The sequence below is a fragment of the Homo sapiens genome, chromosome 19 (assembly GCF_000001405.40).
Source record: "Homo sapiens chromosome 19, GRCh38.p14 Primary Assembly".
Classification (NCBI taxonomy): Eukaryota; Metazoa; Chordata; class Mammalia; order Primates; family Hominidae; genus Homo; species Homo sapiens.
In genome coordinates this window covers 32415444-32432199 of record NC_000019.10, presented here as the reverse complement: position 1 = coordinate 32432199, position 16756 = coordinate 32415444, and the positions used below count along the sequence as shown (strand labels likewise).

Sequence of the window (16756 nt, the reverse complement as noted above, 5' to 3'; positions counted from 1 at the left end):
ATTCAACCCTAGAAGAACTGAAAACTTAAATAGCTATTAGCCAATTTAGTTACAAGATACTTTTATTAAATTTAAATTATTACTATAAAACAGAAGCAATGGGCAACAATGACACGGAAGACTTTCTGGAATAATCCAATTAATACTGTTAGATGATACACTTTATTTATAGGTTGAGCAGCCCTAACCTGAAAAGCTGAAATCCAAATGAAATACTTTAAAATTGGATACCTTCTGAGAGCCAACACGATGACACAAGTTACCCTGAAAGTGTTATTTTTTTCACCGTATTGATGGTATGTCATATTTTTTATTGTTAAGTACTTATGTACGAATAAGTATAACAAAATGATTACTTATAAAGGCACCATGTAAATTCAGAGTCAGGAACAATGGTGATGCCAAATAACCATAGACTGTCCACTGGGATGGTTGAGATAGTGACACCTTTGTTTTCTGATGGTTCAGTGTCTACAAACTTTGTTTTATGAACTATATTGTATAAAATCACCTTCAGGCTATGTGCATAAGGTATACATAAAACATAAATGAATTTCATCTTTACACCTGAATCCTATCCCCAAGATTTCTCATTATATATATGCAAATAATCCAAAATCTGAAATCCAAGACACTTCTGGCCCCAAGTATTTCAGATGAGGGATACTTAACCTGTACCTGTAAAAGTATAAATAAATAAAAAGTTATAATCTATGTTATTAGAGATTCTTTTACACCAGTGTTAAAAACAAAACAAAACAAACCATGTCCTAAAATCTGTAACACACTGTCTAAAATATAATTCGATCTGTTTTTTTTTTTTGAGACGGAGTTTCACTCGTTGCCCAGGCTGGAGTGCAATGGTGCGATCTCGGCTCACTGCAACCTCCAACTTCCAGGTTCAAGCGATTGTCCTGCCTCAGCCTCCCTAGTAGCTGGGATTACAGGCATGTGCACCATGCCCGGCTAATTTGGTATTTTTAGTAGAGATGGGGTTTCTCCATGTTGGTAAGGCTGGTCTTGAACTCCCGACCTCAGGTGATCCATCTGCCTCGGCCTCCCAAAGTGCTGGGATTACAGGCGTGAGCCACTGCACCCGGCCATGCTTTTTCATATTATAGCAGATTCACATTCCACAAACCCAATGGGGGAAAGTGATAAATACTGAACATCTCATTTTCTAGCTGATGAACTTCTTTTAGCTCATTTTGCTTCCCCCTAACTCCAACTAATTTTCAAATGGTAATAAACATCTCATTAAAAGAACCACTCAGGCTGGGTGCGGTGGCTCATGCCTATAGCCATGCACTTTGGGAGGCTGAAGTGGGTGGATTGCTTGAGCTCAGGAGTTCAAGACCAGCCTGGGCAACATGGCAAAACCCTGTCTCTACAAAAAAAAAAAAAAAAAGTAGCCAGGCATAGTGGCATGCACCTGAACTCCCAGCAACTGGGGAGGTTGAGGAAGGGGGATCGATTGAGACTCAGCCTACTGGGAGGCTGAGGCTGCTGTGAGCCATGATCAAGCCACTCCAGCCTGGATGATAGAGCGAGACCCTGCCTCAAAAAATAAATAAATAAATAAATAAGAAAGAACCATTCATGCTATTATCTTCAGACTTAGAAATTATTTATTTAATATATTTCTGCTACCCTCTAAATCTTTTTATCATTGTTTGTTAATTCCTTTTAGAAAAATGGGAGGTAGGGTAGCAAATCTTATATATTGAACTTCCTTTCACAGAAAACCAATTTATCCTGGGGAAATCAAGCATTTAAAAAAAGGCCCATCAGGTTCTGAAATTTATTTATTTTTTTTTGGAGACAGGGTCTCACTCTGTCACCCAGGCTGAGTACGGTGGCATGATCACGGCTCATCGTAGCCTTTGCGTGTCAGGGTCAAGTGATCCTCTCGGCTTCCAAGTAGCTGGGATTACAGGCACATGCCACTATGTCCACCTAATTTCTGTATTTTTTGTAGAGGTAGGGTTTTGCCATGTTGCCCAGGCTGGTCTTGAACTCCTGAGCTTAAGTGATCCTCCTGCCGTGGCCTCCCAAAGTGCTGGGATTACAGACAGAAGCCACAGTGCCTGGGCCTAAAATTTAATTTCAATAACACACTTGCGTTATAAAAAGGCTACTACATAATGATACAGCTTTTTAAACTTTCATTGCTAGTGATTTGTGTTGTATCTTTCATAGCAGTAAAGGCAACTCTTCTGGGTAGTTACTTTAATCCACTCATTTTTTATCTTTGAGAAAACGTGCTCTATTGCTTTTGAGAACTTAAAACCAACCTGGTATCACTCGTTTCTAGAATGTCCAAACTCCTACTCATTCAAATAACCACAGAGGCTATGAATTGATGTTAACTGAGCAAATACTAGCTTTTGTCCATGCAAATTAAGAACAACAACAACAACATTAATTACATTATTTTTCTTTTCTCTAGCTTCCTTAAAGTGTTCAAAGGCACTTGAGGAGTGTGAAAATCCTGTCACACCTACATCCCAAATCAAACTGGAGAGCCAATAAAGAATGAAAGAGTGAATTATATGGTTCTAAGAATAAAAGACCAGGGAATAAGAAAAAACACTGCTCAAAGTACTAAAGGTAGAAAGCTTTTGTGTCCCATCTCTCCCTTTATTATAGCCAGAATGCACAAAGAACAGAGGGGGACCTAATTAGTAAAAATGCATTCAAACATGATTAATTGGTAATCTAGCACCAGCTGTACAGAACCAAATGCTATACTTTATTAGACAGACACTTGCAAGTTTTACATCTGCTTCATGCTAAGAGAACATCTGCTTCACTCATTCAAACACTTTTCCAGTTTTACAGCAATTTATACTTCGCTTGGTAGATCACACCCGTGAAAATATACACCAATAGTAGTTATCCTCTAAAGAATGCAAAACGAACAAATACTTCATATTCAATTTGCACAGGTTCCATGGGGAATGCAATGTTGACAGAACGAAAACATCTTCGAAGATAATGACAGAAAGAAGTGGAAAGACAAAAGACTTGTATTTATAAAGAACTGTACAGCTGGCCGGGTGTGGTGGCTCACGCCTGTAATCCCAGCACTTTGGGAGGCTGAGGCGGGTGGATCCTGAGGTCAGGAGTTCACGACCAGCCTGGCCAAGATGGTGAAACCCCGTCTCTACTAAAAATACAAAAAATTAGCCAAGCGCGGTGGCAGGCGCCTGTAATCCCAGCTACTCAGGAGGCTGAGGCAGGAGAATCACTTGAACTCGGAGGGCAGAGGTTGCAGTGAGCTGAGATCGCACCACTGCACTCCAGCCTGGGAGACAGAGTGAGACTCCGTCTCAAAACAAACAAACAACAACAACAAGAAAAAAAACAAAAAAAAAACTGTACAGCTAAAACCATTGAAGTAACAGTGTATATAGCAATTTAATAGATGTACACACACACAAAAAATGACTGCTCACAATAAATGATCACATTCCCCACAGGCACTCAGACAAGTTGCTGGCAATGCCCAAAAGGCTAGAGTCCTTTGAGACAAATGACACCAAATTTGGAAAGGAAACATCAAATTAGCTTTTTAAAAATCTCACGTAAATAGATCCCCCACATAATGTCTGGTCACTCTGGCCTGCCTTTAGCAAGAACCCTCTAAGCCTGGTTGAGCCAGGATCCCCCGCATCCCAGTGGTTCCTCTTACTCATTTCCCAGCCACTGACCCCAATCCGCTCCTTGGCTGCCTATTCCTACTCACCCATGATGTACTAGAAGTTGAGTACAATCTCTCTCCACCACTGCAAGACCTCATTGCAGTGGTCCCTACATCTATCGCAATGGTCCTGAAGTCTTTCTCCTCTTGCTTTTTTTTAAAAAAAACAAAACAACTCATGTTTAAAAAAACAAGAACAACTCACGTAAAAAAGTTCTGTTTACAGGCCAGGCGCGGTGGCTCACACCTGTAACCCCAACACTTTGGGAAGCCGAGGTGGGCAGATCACCTGAGGTCAGGAGTTTGAGACGAGCCTGGCCAACATGGCGAAACCCCGTCTTTACTAAAAATACAAAAATTAGCTGGGCATTGTGGTGCATGTCTGTAATTCCAGCTACTTGGGAGGCTGAGGCATGAGAATTGCTTGAATCCGGGAGGTGGAAGTTGCAGTCAGCTGAGATCCCGGCACTGCACTCCAGCCTGGGTGATGGAGTGAAACTCTGTCTCAAAAAAAAAAAAAAAAAAAAAGATTTGTTTACAAAAATTGTCCCCCAAAATAATTAGACTGCTAGTAGTGGGGAAGCCACCGAAAAATTAACTTTATAAATGTAATCTGTTTCAGAATTAGGTTAACAAATCATCTCACCAAGAAATAGTAGCCCATAAGACAGCTGTTCTTAAAGTTCTGTACTGGGAATCATGCCCTCAGCAAACATATTTATGGCACATACATGGTTTATTGTCTGGTTAAATTCATGTCCATCTGTTAGAGGGGAATGATTCTTGCCCCAGAGTTGATTAAAGCCGTGGCATGTGAGAAGTGCCAAGCAGGGCTTGTGAGGAGGGCAGTCTGCTACTGAAGTGACAGTTCTTCCACTGGGCCCACACTCAGGCAATCAGCAGTCTTAGCACTACCGTACTACTATTGTGTGGATTACCCCTATCTATTCTAAAGTCTCCTTGCTTTGCAGGAGTATTCAATGGGAAGACATGCAAATTCGGCAATATCAAGTAAATAAGAATAACAGTGGAAAATGTTAGCACAAGGAAAAAAGACTAAAAAGAAAGAGTGATGTTGGTGCTTATAGCCAAAGGAGAACTGCCTTCCTTATCATTGCATATTTATTTGCTGGGGAAACAAAAAGGTGCAAGAATTTAGTATTTGACCGAAAGATGTTTATGTTCCAACAAGAAAGAAGAATGCGGGGGTGCGGTGGCTCACGCTTATAACCCCAGCACTTTAGAAGGCCGAGGTAGGTGGATTACTTAAGCCCAGGACTTTAAGACCAGCCTAGGCAACATGGCAAGACCCAGGCTGTACTAAAAATATAAAAAATTAGCTGGGCATGGTGGTATGCCCCTGTAGTTCCAGCTACTTGAGGGGTTGCAGTGGGAGAATCACCTGAGCTCAGGAAGTCGAGGCTACAGTGAGCCGAGATCGCACCTCTGCACTCCAGACTGGGAGACAGAGCAAGATCCTGCCTCAAAAACAAACAAACAAACAACGAAACACCAAAGAAAGAACACATTGTAAACAAAGGGAAACGACTTCAGGCACGCCTCATCTCACTGTGCCTCACTTTCCCGCCCTTTGCAGATAATGCATTTTTACAAATTGAAACTTAGTGGCAACTATGCATCAAACAACTATCAACACCATTTCTGCAACAGCTATTGCTCACTTTTTGTCTCTGTCACATTTTAGTAATTCTTCCAATATTTCACATTTTTCTTTATTATTATACCTGTCACGGGATCTGGGATCAGTGATCTTTGATGTTATTAATACTACTGTAACTGTTTTGGGGCACAATAAACCACACCCATGTAAGACGGTGAACTGAAATGTGTGTGTTCTGACAGCTCTGTCATTCTTCTGTCTCATTTCCTCTCCCCAGGCCTCTCTGCTCCCTGAGACACAATAATATCGGAATTAATAACTTTACAATAGCCTCTAAGCGTCGAAAGGAAGTGTGGCACATCTCTCACTTTAAATGGAAAGCTAGAGATGATAAGTTAGTGAGGAAAGCATGTCGAAAGTTGAGAGAGACCAAAAACTAGGCCTCCTGTGCCAAAGAGCCAAGTTGTTAACACAAAGGAAAAGTTACGGAAGGAAATTAAAAGTGCTACTCCAGTGAACGCACCAATGATAAGAATGAAAAACAGCCTCATTGCTGATACGGGGAAAGTCTAATGCTCTGATGGAAAATCAAATCATCTAAAACATTCTCTTAAGCCAACGCCTAATCCAGAGCAAGGCCCTCTCTTCAATTCTGTGAAGGCTAGAGAGGTGAGGAAGCTGCAGAAGAAAAGCTGGAAGCTAGCAGAGGTTGGTTCATGAGGTTGAGGGGAAGTAGCCATCTCCCTAACATACAAGTGCAAGGTGAAGCTGAAAGTGCTGATGGAAAAGCTGCAGCAAGTCATCCAGAAGATCCAGCTAAGATCCCTGATGAAGGTGCCTACATTAAACAACAGATACTCAATGTAGATGAAACAGCCTTCTATTGGAAGAAGATGCCATCTCGGACTTTTACAGCTCAGGAGAAGTCAATGCCTGACTTCAAAGCTTCAGAGCATAGGCTGACTCTCGTTAGGGGCTAATACAGCTGGTGGCTTTAAGTTGAAGCCAATGTTCACTTACCATTCTGAAAATCCTAGGGTCCTTATTAAGAATGATGTGAAATCTACTCTGCTTGTGCACTAAAGATGGACAACAAAACCTGGATGACAGCCCATGTGTTGACAGCACGATTTACTATTTTAGGCCCACTGTTGAGATCTACTACACAGAAAAAAAAAATTCTTTTCAAAATACTACTGCTCATTGATAATGCATCTGGTTATCTGTGTTATTTTCATGCCTGCTAACACAAAATCTATTCTACAGCCCATGGATCAAGGAATAATTTTGACTTTTGAGTCTTAATTTTTTTCTTTTTTTTTTTTGAGACAGAGTCTCGCTCTGTTACCCACGATGGAGCACAGTGGCGCCATCTCAGCTCACTGCAACCTCTGCCTCCCGGGTTCAAGTGATCCTTCTGTCTCAGCCTCCCTAGTAGCTGGGACTACAGATGTGTGCCATCACGCCTGGCTAATTTTTGTATTTTTAATAGATACAGGGTTTTACTATTTTGGCCCGGCTGGTCTTGAACTCCTGACCTCAAGTGATCTGCCTGCCTTGGCCTCCAAACTGCTGAGATTACAGGCATGAGCCACAGCACCTGGTCTGATGGTGTACTTTGGAGTACAAAAATGTCTAATTTTGATGAACACCAATTTATTTATTTATTTTTAATCATGTGTTTTTAGTGTGGTCTCTATGAAGTTTTGGCCTACTCCACAGTTATAAAAGATTCATTTGCATATTTTCTTCTAAATGTTTTATAGTTTTAGACATTTAGGCCTATGATCCATCTTGAGTTAATTTTTGTGTATGGTGTGAGGCAGTGGTCTAATTTCATTCTTTTGCATGTGAATATCCATTTGTTTATAGACCATTTATTGAAGACTATTCTTTCTCCACGTAACTGTCCTTCCTGGTGCCCTGCTGAAAATCACTTGACCATCTAAGGATTTATGTCTGTATTCCCAATTTTATTCCATTGATTTATATGTCTATCCTTATGCCAGCATCAGAGTCTTGATTACTGTGGCTGTATAGTAAGTTTTGAAGTCAGAAAGTTTGAGTCTTACAACTTTGTTCTTCTTTTTCAAAACTGTTTTAGCTATTCTGAGTCCCTTGAGTTTCCATATACATTTTAGGACTAGCTTGTCAATTTCTGTGAAAAGTCCACCTGGGATTCTGAGAGGGATCATGTTGACTCTGTAGGTCAACTTGAAGATCTACAGAGACCTTTTTTTGTTTTTGAGACAGGTTCTTGCTCTGTTGCCCAGGCTGGAGCACAACGGCATGATCTTGGCTCACTGAAGACTTGGCTTCCTGAGCTCAGGTGATCATCCCATTGCACCCTCTCAAGCAGCTGGGTGTAAGCTGTGTGCCACCAAGCCTGGCTAATTTTTTTTTTTGTATTTTTAGTAGAGACAAGTTTTCACCATGTTGCCCAGGCTTGTGTGTCTTATCAGTTTTAAATCAAACTTTCTGACTTCCAGTTATAAAAGAGAAAGAAATCAGGATACTCCCATCCATTTTTTTTTATTTATTTCTTTTTTTTTTTTAGAGACAGGGTCTCACTCTGTTGCCCAGACCGGAGTGCAGTGGTGTGATCACAGCTCACTGCAGCCTTGACCTCCCCAGCTCAGGTGACCCTCCTGCCTCAGCTTCCCAAGTAACTGGGGCTGCAGGTGCACACTACCACACCCAGCTAATTTTTTAAAAATTTTTTGTAGAGATGGGATCTCACTATGTTGCCCAGGCTGGTCTTGAACTTCTGGGCTCAAGCAATCCTCCCACCTTTTGCCCTCCAGAGTGCTGAGACGACAGCTGTGAGCCACTGTGCCAGCTGGCCTCCCCAACCTTTTTTTTTTCGAGATGGTCTCATTCTGTCACCCAGGCTGGAGGCCAATGGCACAATCTTAGCTAATGATAACTTCTGTGTCCTGAGCTCAAGTGATCCTCCTACCTCAGTCTCCCGAGTAGGTGGGACTATAGGCACATGCCACCATGCCTGGCAAATTGTTTTTGTTTTTAGAGATGGGGTTTCACCATGTTGCCCAGGCTTGTCTTGAACTACTGAGCTCAAGCGATCCTGCCGCCTTGGCCTCCCAAAATGCTGGGATGACAGGCATGAGCCACTGTGCCCAGTCAGCCTCCACCATCTTTTACCCTCTCTTCCCCTTCTTCTTTTATCTTGTGTTATACGTATTACACTGTTATGTTATTATTATGCATTATAACATTATTACTTATGTTGGCATTCTTGTGTATTAGACTGGTGCAAAAGTAATTGTGGTTTTTGCCATTTAAAAGTAATGGCGGCCAGGCATGGTGGCTCACACCTGTAATCCTAACTTTGGGAGGCAGAAGTGGATGGACTGCCTGAGCTCAGGAGTTCGAGACCAGCCTGGCATGTCTCGAACAGCCTGACATGGCAAAACCCTGTCTCTACTAAAAATACCAAAAAAAAAAAAAAAAAATTAGCTGGGCATGGTGGTGCATGCCTATAATCCCAAGTACTGGGGAGGCTGAGGCACAACTGCTTGAACCCAGAAGGCGGAGGTTGCAGTGAGCCAAGATCACGCCACTTCATTCCAGCCTAGGCGACAGAGCGAGCTCTGTTTCATAAATAAATAAATAAAATTAATGACAAGACCTACATTACTTTTGTACCTAATATAACATTATTTATATCATACACATTTTGTTCTATCACTAATTTTTAGTTTTAGTCCTATAGTTAAATAAATTTGAGCCCCACTGAGCATCTTTCTGTCATTGTTTTTCCATGTATCTCATGGATGGATGAAGTTTTTCCTCTTCCAATTTCTTCAGGTATTCTTAAAAGTACATATTTCTAGGAACAAAAAAGTTTGTATGCCATCTTTATATGCAATGGAATGACTGGGTTAAAATGTGTAAATCACTTTCTTTTACTTGAGCATTTTCTAGGCATCATTCATGGTCTTTGACCATTAGACATTACTGTGGAGAAACTGAATGCTAGGTTGACTTTTGTTTCTCCTTATTGGTAACTTGATCTTTTCGTCTAGAATGTCCAAAGGTTTCTTTACATATTTAAGTTCAGCAACTTCAGAGAACTCTATCCTGCTAATGATTTTTCTAGGCCAATTTATCCTGGAAACTGCTCTGCCCCTTCAATTAGTAGATTCAAATTTCCTTTTACTTTTGGAAAGTTTCCTTGAATTACATCTTTAAACGTGTGTGTGTGTGTGTGTGTGTGTGTGTGTGTTTTTCCTGATTTATTGTTCTCGTTCTCTTTTTTTGGGACACAAATGATGCATGCTTGCTGCTCTTTGTCCTCAATTGTCACTTGCTTTCTCATACTGTCACTTTATTCAATCTCCTTTCATTTTGTTGACCTCTCTCAGTCCTGTCCAACATTGCTCTTTCTGTACATTCTACGGATTCCAGTCTCCTGTATGTTGCATCTGAGACGGTCATAATTTCTATAATGATTCTACTTTGTAATTCTATTTCTTGTCTAAAGTCTGCCAGTTCATATTTCACTTCCTTTTGTTCTCTTCCTGTTTCCCCTTGAAGAAGGCACATACCTTCTTATGTTTCTGCTTTGTATTCATCTTCCACAGTGGCAAAGGATTATCTTTTAATGTGACACGTGTGGTTACAACCTCCACATCTCCACTGTAAAATTATTCTGGTGACTGTTCTTCACCAATGATGTCTGCTTGTTGTTCTCTTCCCTTTTTTGTTGCAGTATCACCGGACAATCTTGTCCCAGTTCCTTCCTTATCAGTTATGTCAGAATGTGGCAAGTTCTTACTACACAAGCTACTTGCAGGAAGTTCATGTGGGGGTGAGGCCAGGCACACAGCTCAGGTCAGCAAGAATTTTCATTGTATAGGGTGGTTTACAAGGGTGAGTTCTTCAGTCTTTTCCTCATTTTAGTCAACAGAACTTGATAGCTTTGGGGATCTTCGAAATGCAGGTTGCCTCCCTTCATTCCTGTCCTCTTAAATTCCATCTCTTAACAAATATGGCTTGTCTCTGTGATCGCTCCTTCTGGCCTGCCTAGCATGCTGTTCTTCATAGCAGAGTGGATCCAAGATAGCGGCTGCCACTACTGCCTGCACACCCATCCCATGGTCCTACTCAGGGTGCTGTTGGTTTTACCCCTTAGGAGATGCCACTAACTTTGGAGGACGACACTTTACTCACTTTATCTGACCCCTGCAGCTTACAGACTCCTCTCTCTTTTTTTTTTTTTTTTTTTGAGATGAAGTCTCGCTTTGTCACCCAGGCTGGAGTGCAGTGGTGCAATCTCGACTCACTGCAACCTCCTCCTCCCAGGTTCAAGCGATTCTCCTGCTTCAGCTGGGATTACAGGAGTAGACCACCACACCTGGCTAATTTTTGTATTTTTAGTAGAGACAGGGTTTTGCCATGTTGGCCAGGCTGGTCTTGAACTCCTGGACTCAAGTGATGTGCCCACCTCGGCCTCCCAAAGTGCTGGGATTACAGGCGTGAGCCACCTTGCCTGGCCGCAGACTCTTCTCTCAGCATCTTTCTGAGTGCCACTGGATTTGGCAGCCCCCTTCATCAAAGCTGGAACTTGATTATCTATTTTTCACATTCCTTAATTGCTCTGAGGGAATTCCAAGAAAGAAGGAACTGATACCACTACATTGCCACTTTAAAGTGAGAATAAGTAAGCACTGTTAGGATTTAACTGTACTATTATAAACAATCTAACTATCCAAAGTTGGGAGCATGGAAATAGTGGAATAATCAAGAGAATAAAAACTTCAAAAATATGAAATTATAAAACCATAACTACTTACATAATTATAAAAGTTTTGTGAAAATGTATATATGGAAAAAGCATAGTATGTAACAGCAGATAAGGTAGATTATAAAAACTAACTATAATGGGGTCATAAATAAGTAAAATATTTAGGCACTTAGGATGAAGAATGGAAGGGAAAAATGAAAACTGCTTTTTGTTAAGGGTAATGAATATTAAGTAATGTTTTTCATTTAAAATTTTTCATCATTGTTACAACATAGTTTCAATAATTAAAAAACAATACACACTCAAAAACTAAAAATGAAGACTATACAGATGTCTACTATACAATTTATTAAACACATGGCAGGCCGCGGTGGCTCATGCTTGTAATCCCAGCACTTTGGGAGGCAGAGATGGGCGGAACACCTGAGGTCAGGAGTTTGAGAACAGCCTGACCAACATGGCAAAACCTCGTCTCTACTAAAAATACAAAAGTTAGCTGGGCACGGTGGTGCGCACCTATAATCCCAGCTACTCTACTCAGGAGGCTGAGGCAGGAGAATCGCTTGAACTCGGGAGGCAAAGGTTGCAGTGAGCCAAGACTACACTACTGTACCCCAGCCTGGGCGACAGTGAGACTCCATCTCAACAACAACAACAAAAAAAAACAAAACTACTAAACAAAAATCACTTAAAATGCATCCACTGGCTCCTGTACCTGCCATGACTAACCATATCGTATCCTTGAAGGCAAGCTCCGGAAGTCATGTCCTTTGGTTCTAGTTCCCATCCAGATTCTTCACAGCAGCCAGTGCCTCCCCTTTTCCTCTGCCTACCCCATACCCCTCAGCCCCAGCAGTTGACTCTATTGCAGAAGACTGGAAGCTACTTAGCACTGATGACGTGCCAGGCACCATAAGGGCAGAACACCAAGTAAGAAAACAGGCTTTTACTAGCTGGGTGTGGTGGTTCATGCCTGTAATCCCAGCACTTTGGGAGGCTGAGGCGGGCGGATCATGAGGTCAAGAGATCGAGACCATCCTGGCCAAGATGGTGAAACCCCGTCTCCACTAAAAATACAAAAATTAGCCGGGCGTGGTGGTGCCTGCCTGTAATCCCAGTTACTCGGGAGGCTGAGGCAGGAGAACCGTGTGAATCTGGGATGCGGAGGTTGCAGTGAGCCAAAATTGTGCCTCTGCACTCCAGCCTGGGTGACACAGCAAGGCTCCGTCTCAAAAAAAAAAAAAAAAAAAAAATGGGGGAGTGCCTTTTACTTTTTGTTTACAATAAAGGGCAGTAAAAAAGTAGGTTGCATTGAAAGGACAATTTAGAGTTAGTGTTTGGGCTCTGAAGATAGGCAGCTTAAACAGAATATGTAGGTCAGGCATTGTGGCTCATGTCTATAATCCCAGAACTTTGGGAGGCCCAGGTGGGAGGCTTGCTTGAGGCCAAGAGTTCAAGAACAGCCTGTACAACAAAGTGAGACTCTGTCTCTACAAAAAATGAAAAAATTAGCTGGCACCACTTGGGAGGCTGAGGTTGGTGGACTGCTTGAGCCCAGGAGTTCAAGGTTGCAGTGACCTTGATTGCACCACTGCACTCCAGCCTGAGTGAAAGAGTGAGAACCTGTCTCAAAAAATAGGTACAAATAGGCCGGGCACGGTGGCTCATGCCTGTAATCCCTGCACTTTGGGAGGCCGAGGCGGGTGGATCACGAGGTCAGGAGACCCAGACCATCCTGGCTAACACTGTGAAACTCCGTCTCTACTAAAAAATACAAAAAATTAGCCAGGCGTGGCAGCGGGCACCTGTAGTCCCAGCTACTCAGGAGGCTGAGGCAGGAGAATGGCGCGAACCCGGGAGGTGGAGCTTGCAGGGAGCCGAGATCGCGCCACTGCACTCCAGCCTGGGCGACACAGCGAGACTCTGTCTCAAAAAAAAAAAAAAAGGTACAAATAAATACAATATGTATTAAAATGCCCCCAAATAGTTCCAAGCATGTAACAGACATTCAATAAAGGGTATTTTAAAAAATCTTGAATACTTTCAATTTCCTAGCAAGGGAAATATAATACAATGAAGACAATAGAAAAATAACTTAAAATTTTAAAAATATGCTGAGAAAGGATACTAGATATATCTTTTATACTACTATATGAAACCAGTATCTTTTCCTTCAACTTTCCAGTTGCTATTTCAGGGTTCCCACTTTTCATATACAAACAATACAACAAACATTTAAAAAATCATTTTGAATGCATAAATTCAGTGTATGACTTGTCTATTACATAACCAATACTTTTACTCTCTGAATAATTACAACTACTTCAAAGTATTCAAAAATAAAATCAAAGTATTTTCATTAAACACTAACCTACCAATTTTGATGAGAAAAAGTTATAACCCCAAAACAGGAAAGGAAAGCAGATTTACTCTTCTCAAATAATTCCCCAATATAGAAATGGTATAAATTACAGGAGATTTATAAAGGAATATACACTCCAAAAATGAGCTTTTCTTTGGCCAAATAAGGTCTTTGTTCAGTGATATTTATAATTTCTAATTGTTTATTTACAGAAAATATGTACATATTTAAAAATTAAATCAGATTAATTAAAAAAAAATTTAGTTCCCGAGTGTACTACCCCATTTCAAGTGTTCAATAGCCACATGTGGCCACTGTACTAGACAGTGCATACACTGAACATTTCCTTCATTATAGTCCTATTGGACAATGCTGATCTAGCGAATCTAAGCAAAACACAAAACCAAATGCCTAGGCAGAGGTATTAACAGGTTTGAGAAATGGTTCTAACATTGGAGGATTCTTCTTGTGATATAGGAGACAACCCAAAATGTGTGCTATGGACTACTGCTTGAACAAAGAGGAAAAAAATGGATACGACTCTGAGCTCAATTGTAAGTTTCAGAGGACAAGGGTGGTGGGTGGGGAAAAGCGCCTGTTTTATAGCTTCCCAGATGGTATCTGAGGCACAGACACAAACTGGCCCAGGTTCTCTTTCCTTTCTCATTTTACACGCTCCTGAAACAATCTCACCCACACATCTACAAGATGGTAAGATGAAAATGCCCATTTCCAACACAGACGGAACTCCTGCCTTCAGCCCCGTAAGTCTAGCTTCCTTTATTCTGTATTTCTAGGTGGACTGCTTTAAAAGTGCCTCACAACATAGTCAAACCTGAGCTCATTGTTCCCTGCCTTTCCTCCTGTGCAAGAAAGAATTTGGCTGACCTCTGTCCCTGGTTACGGGGAGGTAACCTTGTATTAGTCCATTCCTCATGCTTCTAATAAAGACATACCCAAGACTGGGTAATTTATAAAGGAAAGAGGTTTAATGGAGTCACAGTTCCACAAGGGTGGAGAGGTCTCACAATCATGGCAGAAAGTGAATGAGGAGCAAAGTTAAGTCTTACATGGCGGCAGGCAGACAGTGTGTGACGGGGAACTCCCCTCTATAAAACCATCAGATCTGGCCAGGCGTGGTAGCTCACACCTGTAATTCCAGCACTTTGGGAGGCCAAGGTGGGCAGATCACAAGGTCAGGAGTTCAAGATCAGCCTGACCAACATGGTGAAATCCCATCTCTACTAAAAATACAAAAATTAGCCAGGCGTGGTGGCACGCACCTGTTAAGCTCAGCTACTCAGGTGGCTGAGGCAGGAGAATTGCTTGAACTCAGGAGGCGGAGGCTGCAGTGAGCTGAGATCGTGCCACTGCACTCCAGTCTGGACGACAGAGCGAGACTCCGTCTCAGAAAAAAATTAAAATAAATAAAGCCATCAGATCTCGTGACACTATCATGAGAACAGCACAGGAAAGGCCCGCCCCCATGATTCAATTACCTCCCACTGGGTCCCTCCCACAACATGTGGGAATTATGGGAACTACAATTAAAGATGAGATTTGGGTGGGGACACAGCCAAACCATATCAAAACTCTACCCTCTAAGAATAAAGAATCTGGCTGCTCTTTGTCCCCAGTTCCTGGGAGATAGCCTCTAAATCCTTGGAACTTCTAAGTGATGAGAGTGTCTTTGTTATTCATGGTAGGTTCTTCAGACCTCATCTGAAAGCCTGGGCTAGCAGGTGACAGGGTGAGCTCCTAATTTGTGCTAAGGAGATGACTCAGGATTGGGGCTGGCCAAGCCAGAACACTCAACCATGTGGCCTGAGAGTCAGGGCTTTGAGCCATGTGCTAGCAGCCCAACTTCTAAGGAGCAGAAAAGGGCTGGAGATTGAGTCCAGCCTTGTGGGCAATAATCCAATCAATCATGCCTACATAACGAAACCTCAATAAAAACTAGACACCAGTACTCAGAAGAGCTTCTTTGGTTGGCTCCACATAGTGTAACACAGTGATGTGCCAGGAGGGTAACAGGCCTGACTCCATGGGGAAAAGATAATGAAAGCTTCCAATGGGACCCTCGAAGACTTGGCTGCATGTGTCACTCCCTTTGGCTCGTTCTGATTTGTAATCTTTTGCTATAATAAATCTGTAGTCATAATATAGCACTTCCCTGAATTCTGTCAGTTGTTCTAGTGAATTATTGAACCTGAGTGGGTGGTGGGAACCTCAGAATTTGTAGCCAGCTGGTCAGAAGTGAGGGTTGCCTGGGGGGGCCCCAAACGTGCCACTGGTGTGTGAAACGAAGGCATTTTTGTAGAGAGCTGTGCCCTCATCCTGTGGGGTTTGGCCTAACGGTGGATAGCTGGTGTCAGAACTTACTGATCCTCCAGCTCTGCTCCTCCCGGTGCTCGTTGTCACAGAAAATGGCATGTCCATCCATCCACCCCGCTGCTAAGGAGAGCAAGCAGCTTGGACTGACAGCCTCTCAACTGTTCTCTCTCAACAGACTTCCACACAATGAATCAAGACATCCTTCCAAGTCCACTTCCTAAAAAGCTCTGACTCTGTTCACGACTCTGCAACTCTTATGCAGCCTCAAAGCCCTAAGTGATCTGTTCTTCTCCTCTCTTCTACCTTCTCCTCATCACTCATAAAACTCTGGCCACATGCACCTTCTCTCTGATCCTGGATTTGCCAAGTTCATTCCTACCTTAGAGACTTTTGGCTTGCTGTTTCCTCTGCCTAGAATGTTCTCGCAGATCTTAGCTTGGCTGGTTCCTTCTATAATATCATGTAGGTTTTGGTTTACATGTCCTCAAAGTGGTCGGCTTTACTTCCCAATTCCAAGTAGCCTTCTAGTGACTATCTCATCATCCCGTGTGACTTTCACCGTAGGATTCATTTTCATTTTCTTTCTGATTTTTCCCCTTTTCATCATAATTAAGTTCTATGTCGTATTCAATGCTTTATTCCCAGGGCCTAGAAAAGTGTCTGGCATACAGAAGATACTCACTGAATATTTGAATGCAATATTTAAATATTACTGAATCCACTGAATTGGATTATCTTAGCAGTTTCCTGACTTTAGTTTTGCTCTCCCCAAATCCATTTTCCACATCACAGCCTAAGGCAACTTTCTGAAACGCCAATACGATGACATCGCTGCCTCTACTAAAAATAGGGTTCACTACTATAATACATTCAGAGAGAGTTCTATCTTTGAGACAGAGAAGACAGACCCTTTATTATCTGGCCTCTGTTTACCATTCCCAGTACATCCCCTCTCCCCTTGTACTCTCT

At 42.1% G+C, this 16756-nt stretch overlaps 1 protein-coding gene across 13 annotated transcripts in view, besides 1 other annotated feature; it reads right to left on the bottom strand.

Annotated features, from left to right (window-relative positions):
* DPY19L3 (dpy-19 like C-mannosyltransferase 3) overlaps positions 1 to 16756 on the bottom strand; it is an 80121-nt gene that overhangs the window by 53691 nt on the left and 9674 nt on the right. The window lies entirely within an intron of this gene.
* Positions 11062 to 11270: a silencer, noted in NCBI's record as "fragment chr19:32911836-32912044 (GRCh37/hg19 assembly coordinates)". NCBI's record gives its function as "represses an EF-1alpha promoter that drives an FKBP-Casp9 reporter gene in an ReSE screen in K562 erythroleukemia cells {active_cell/tissue: K562}" and the evidence as "EXISTENCE:reporter gene assay evidence [ECO:0000049][PMID:32094911]".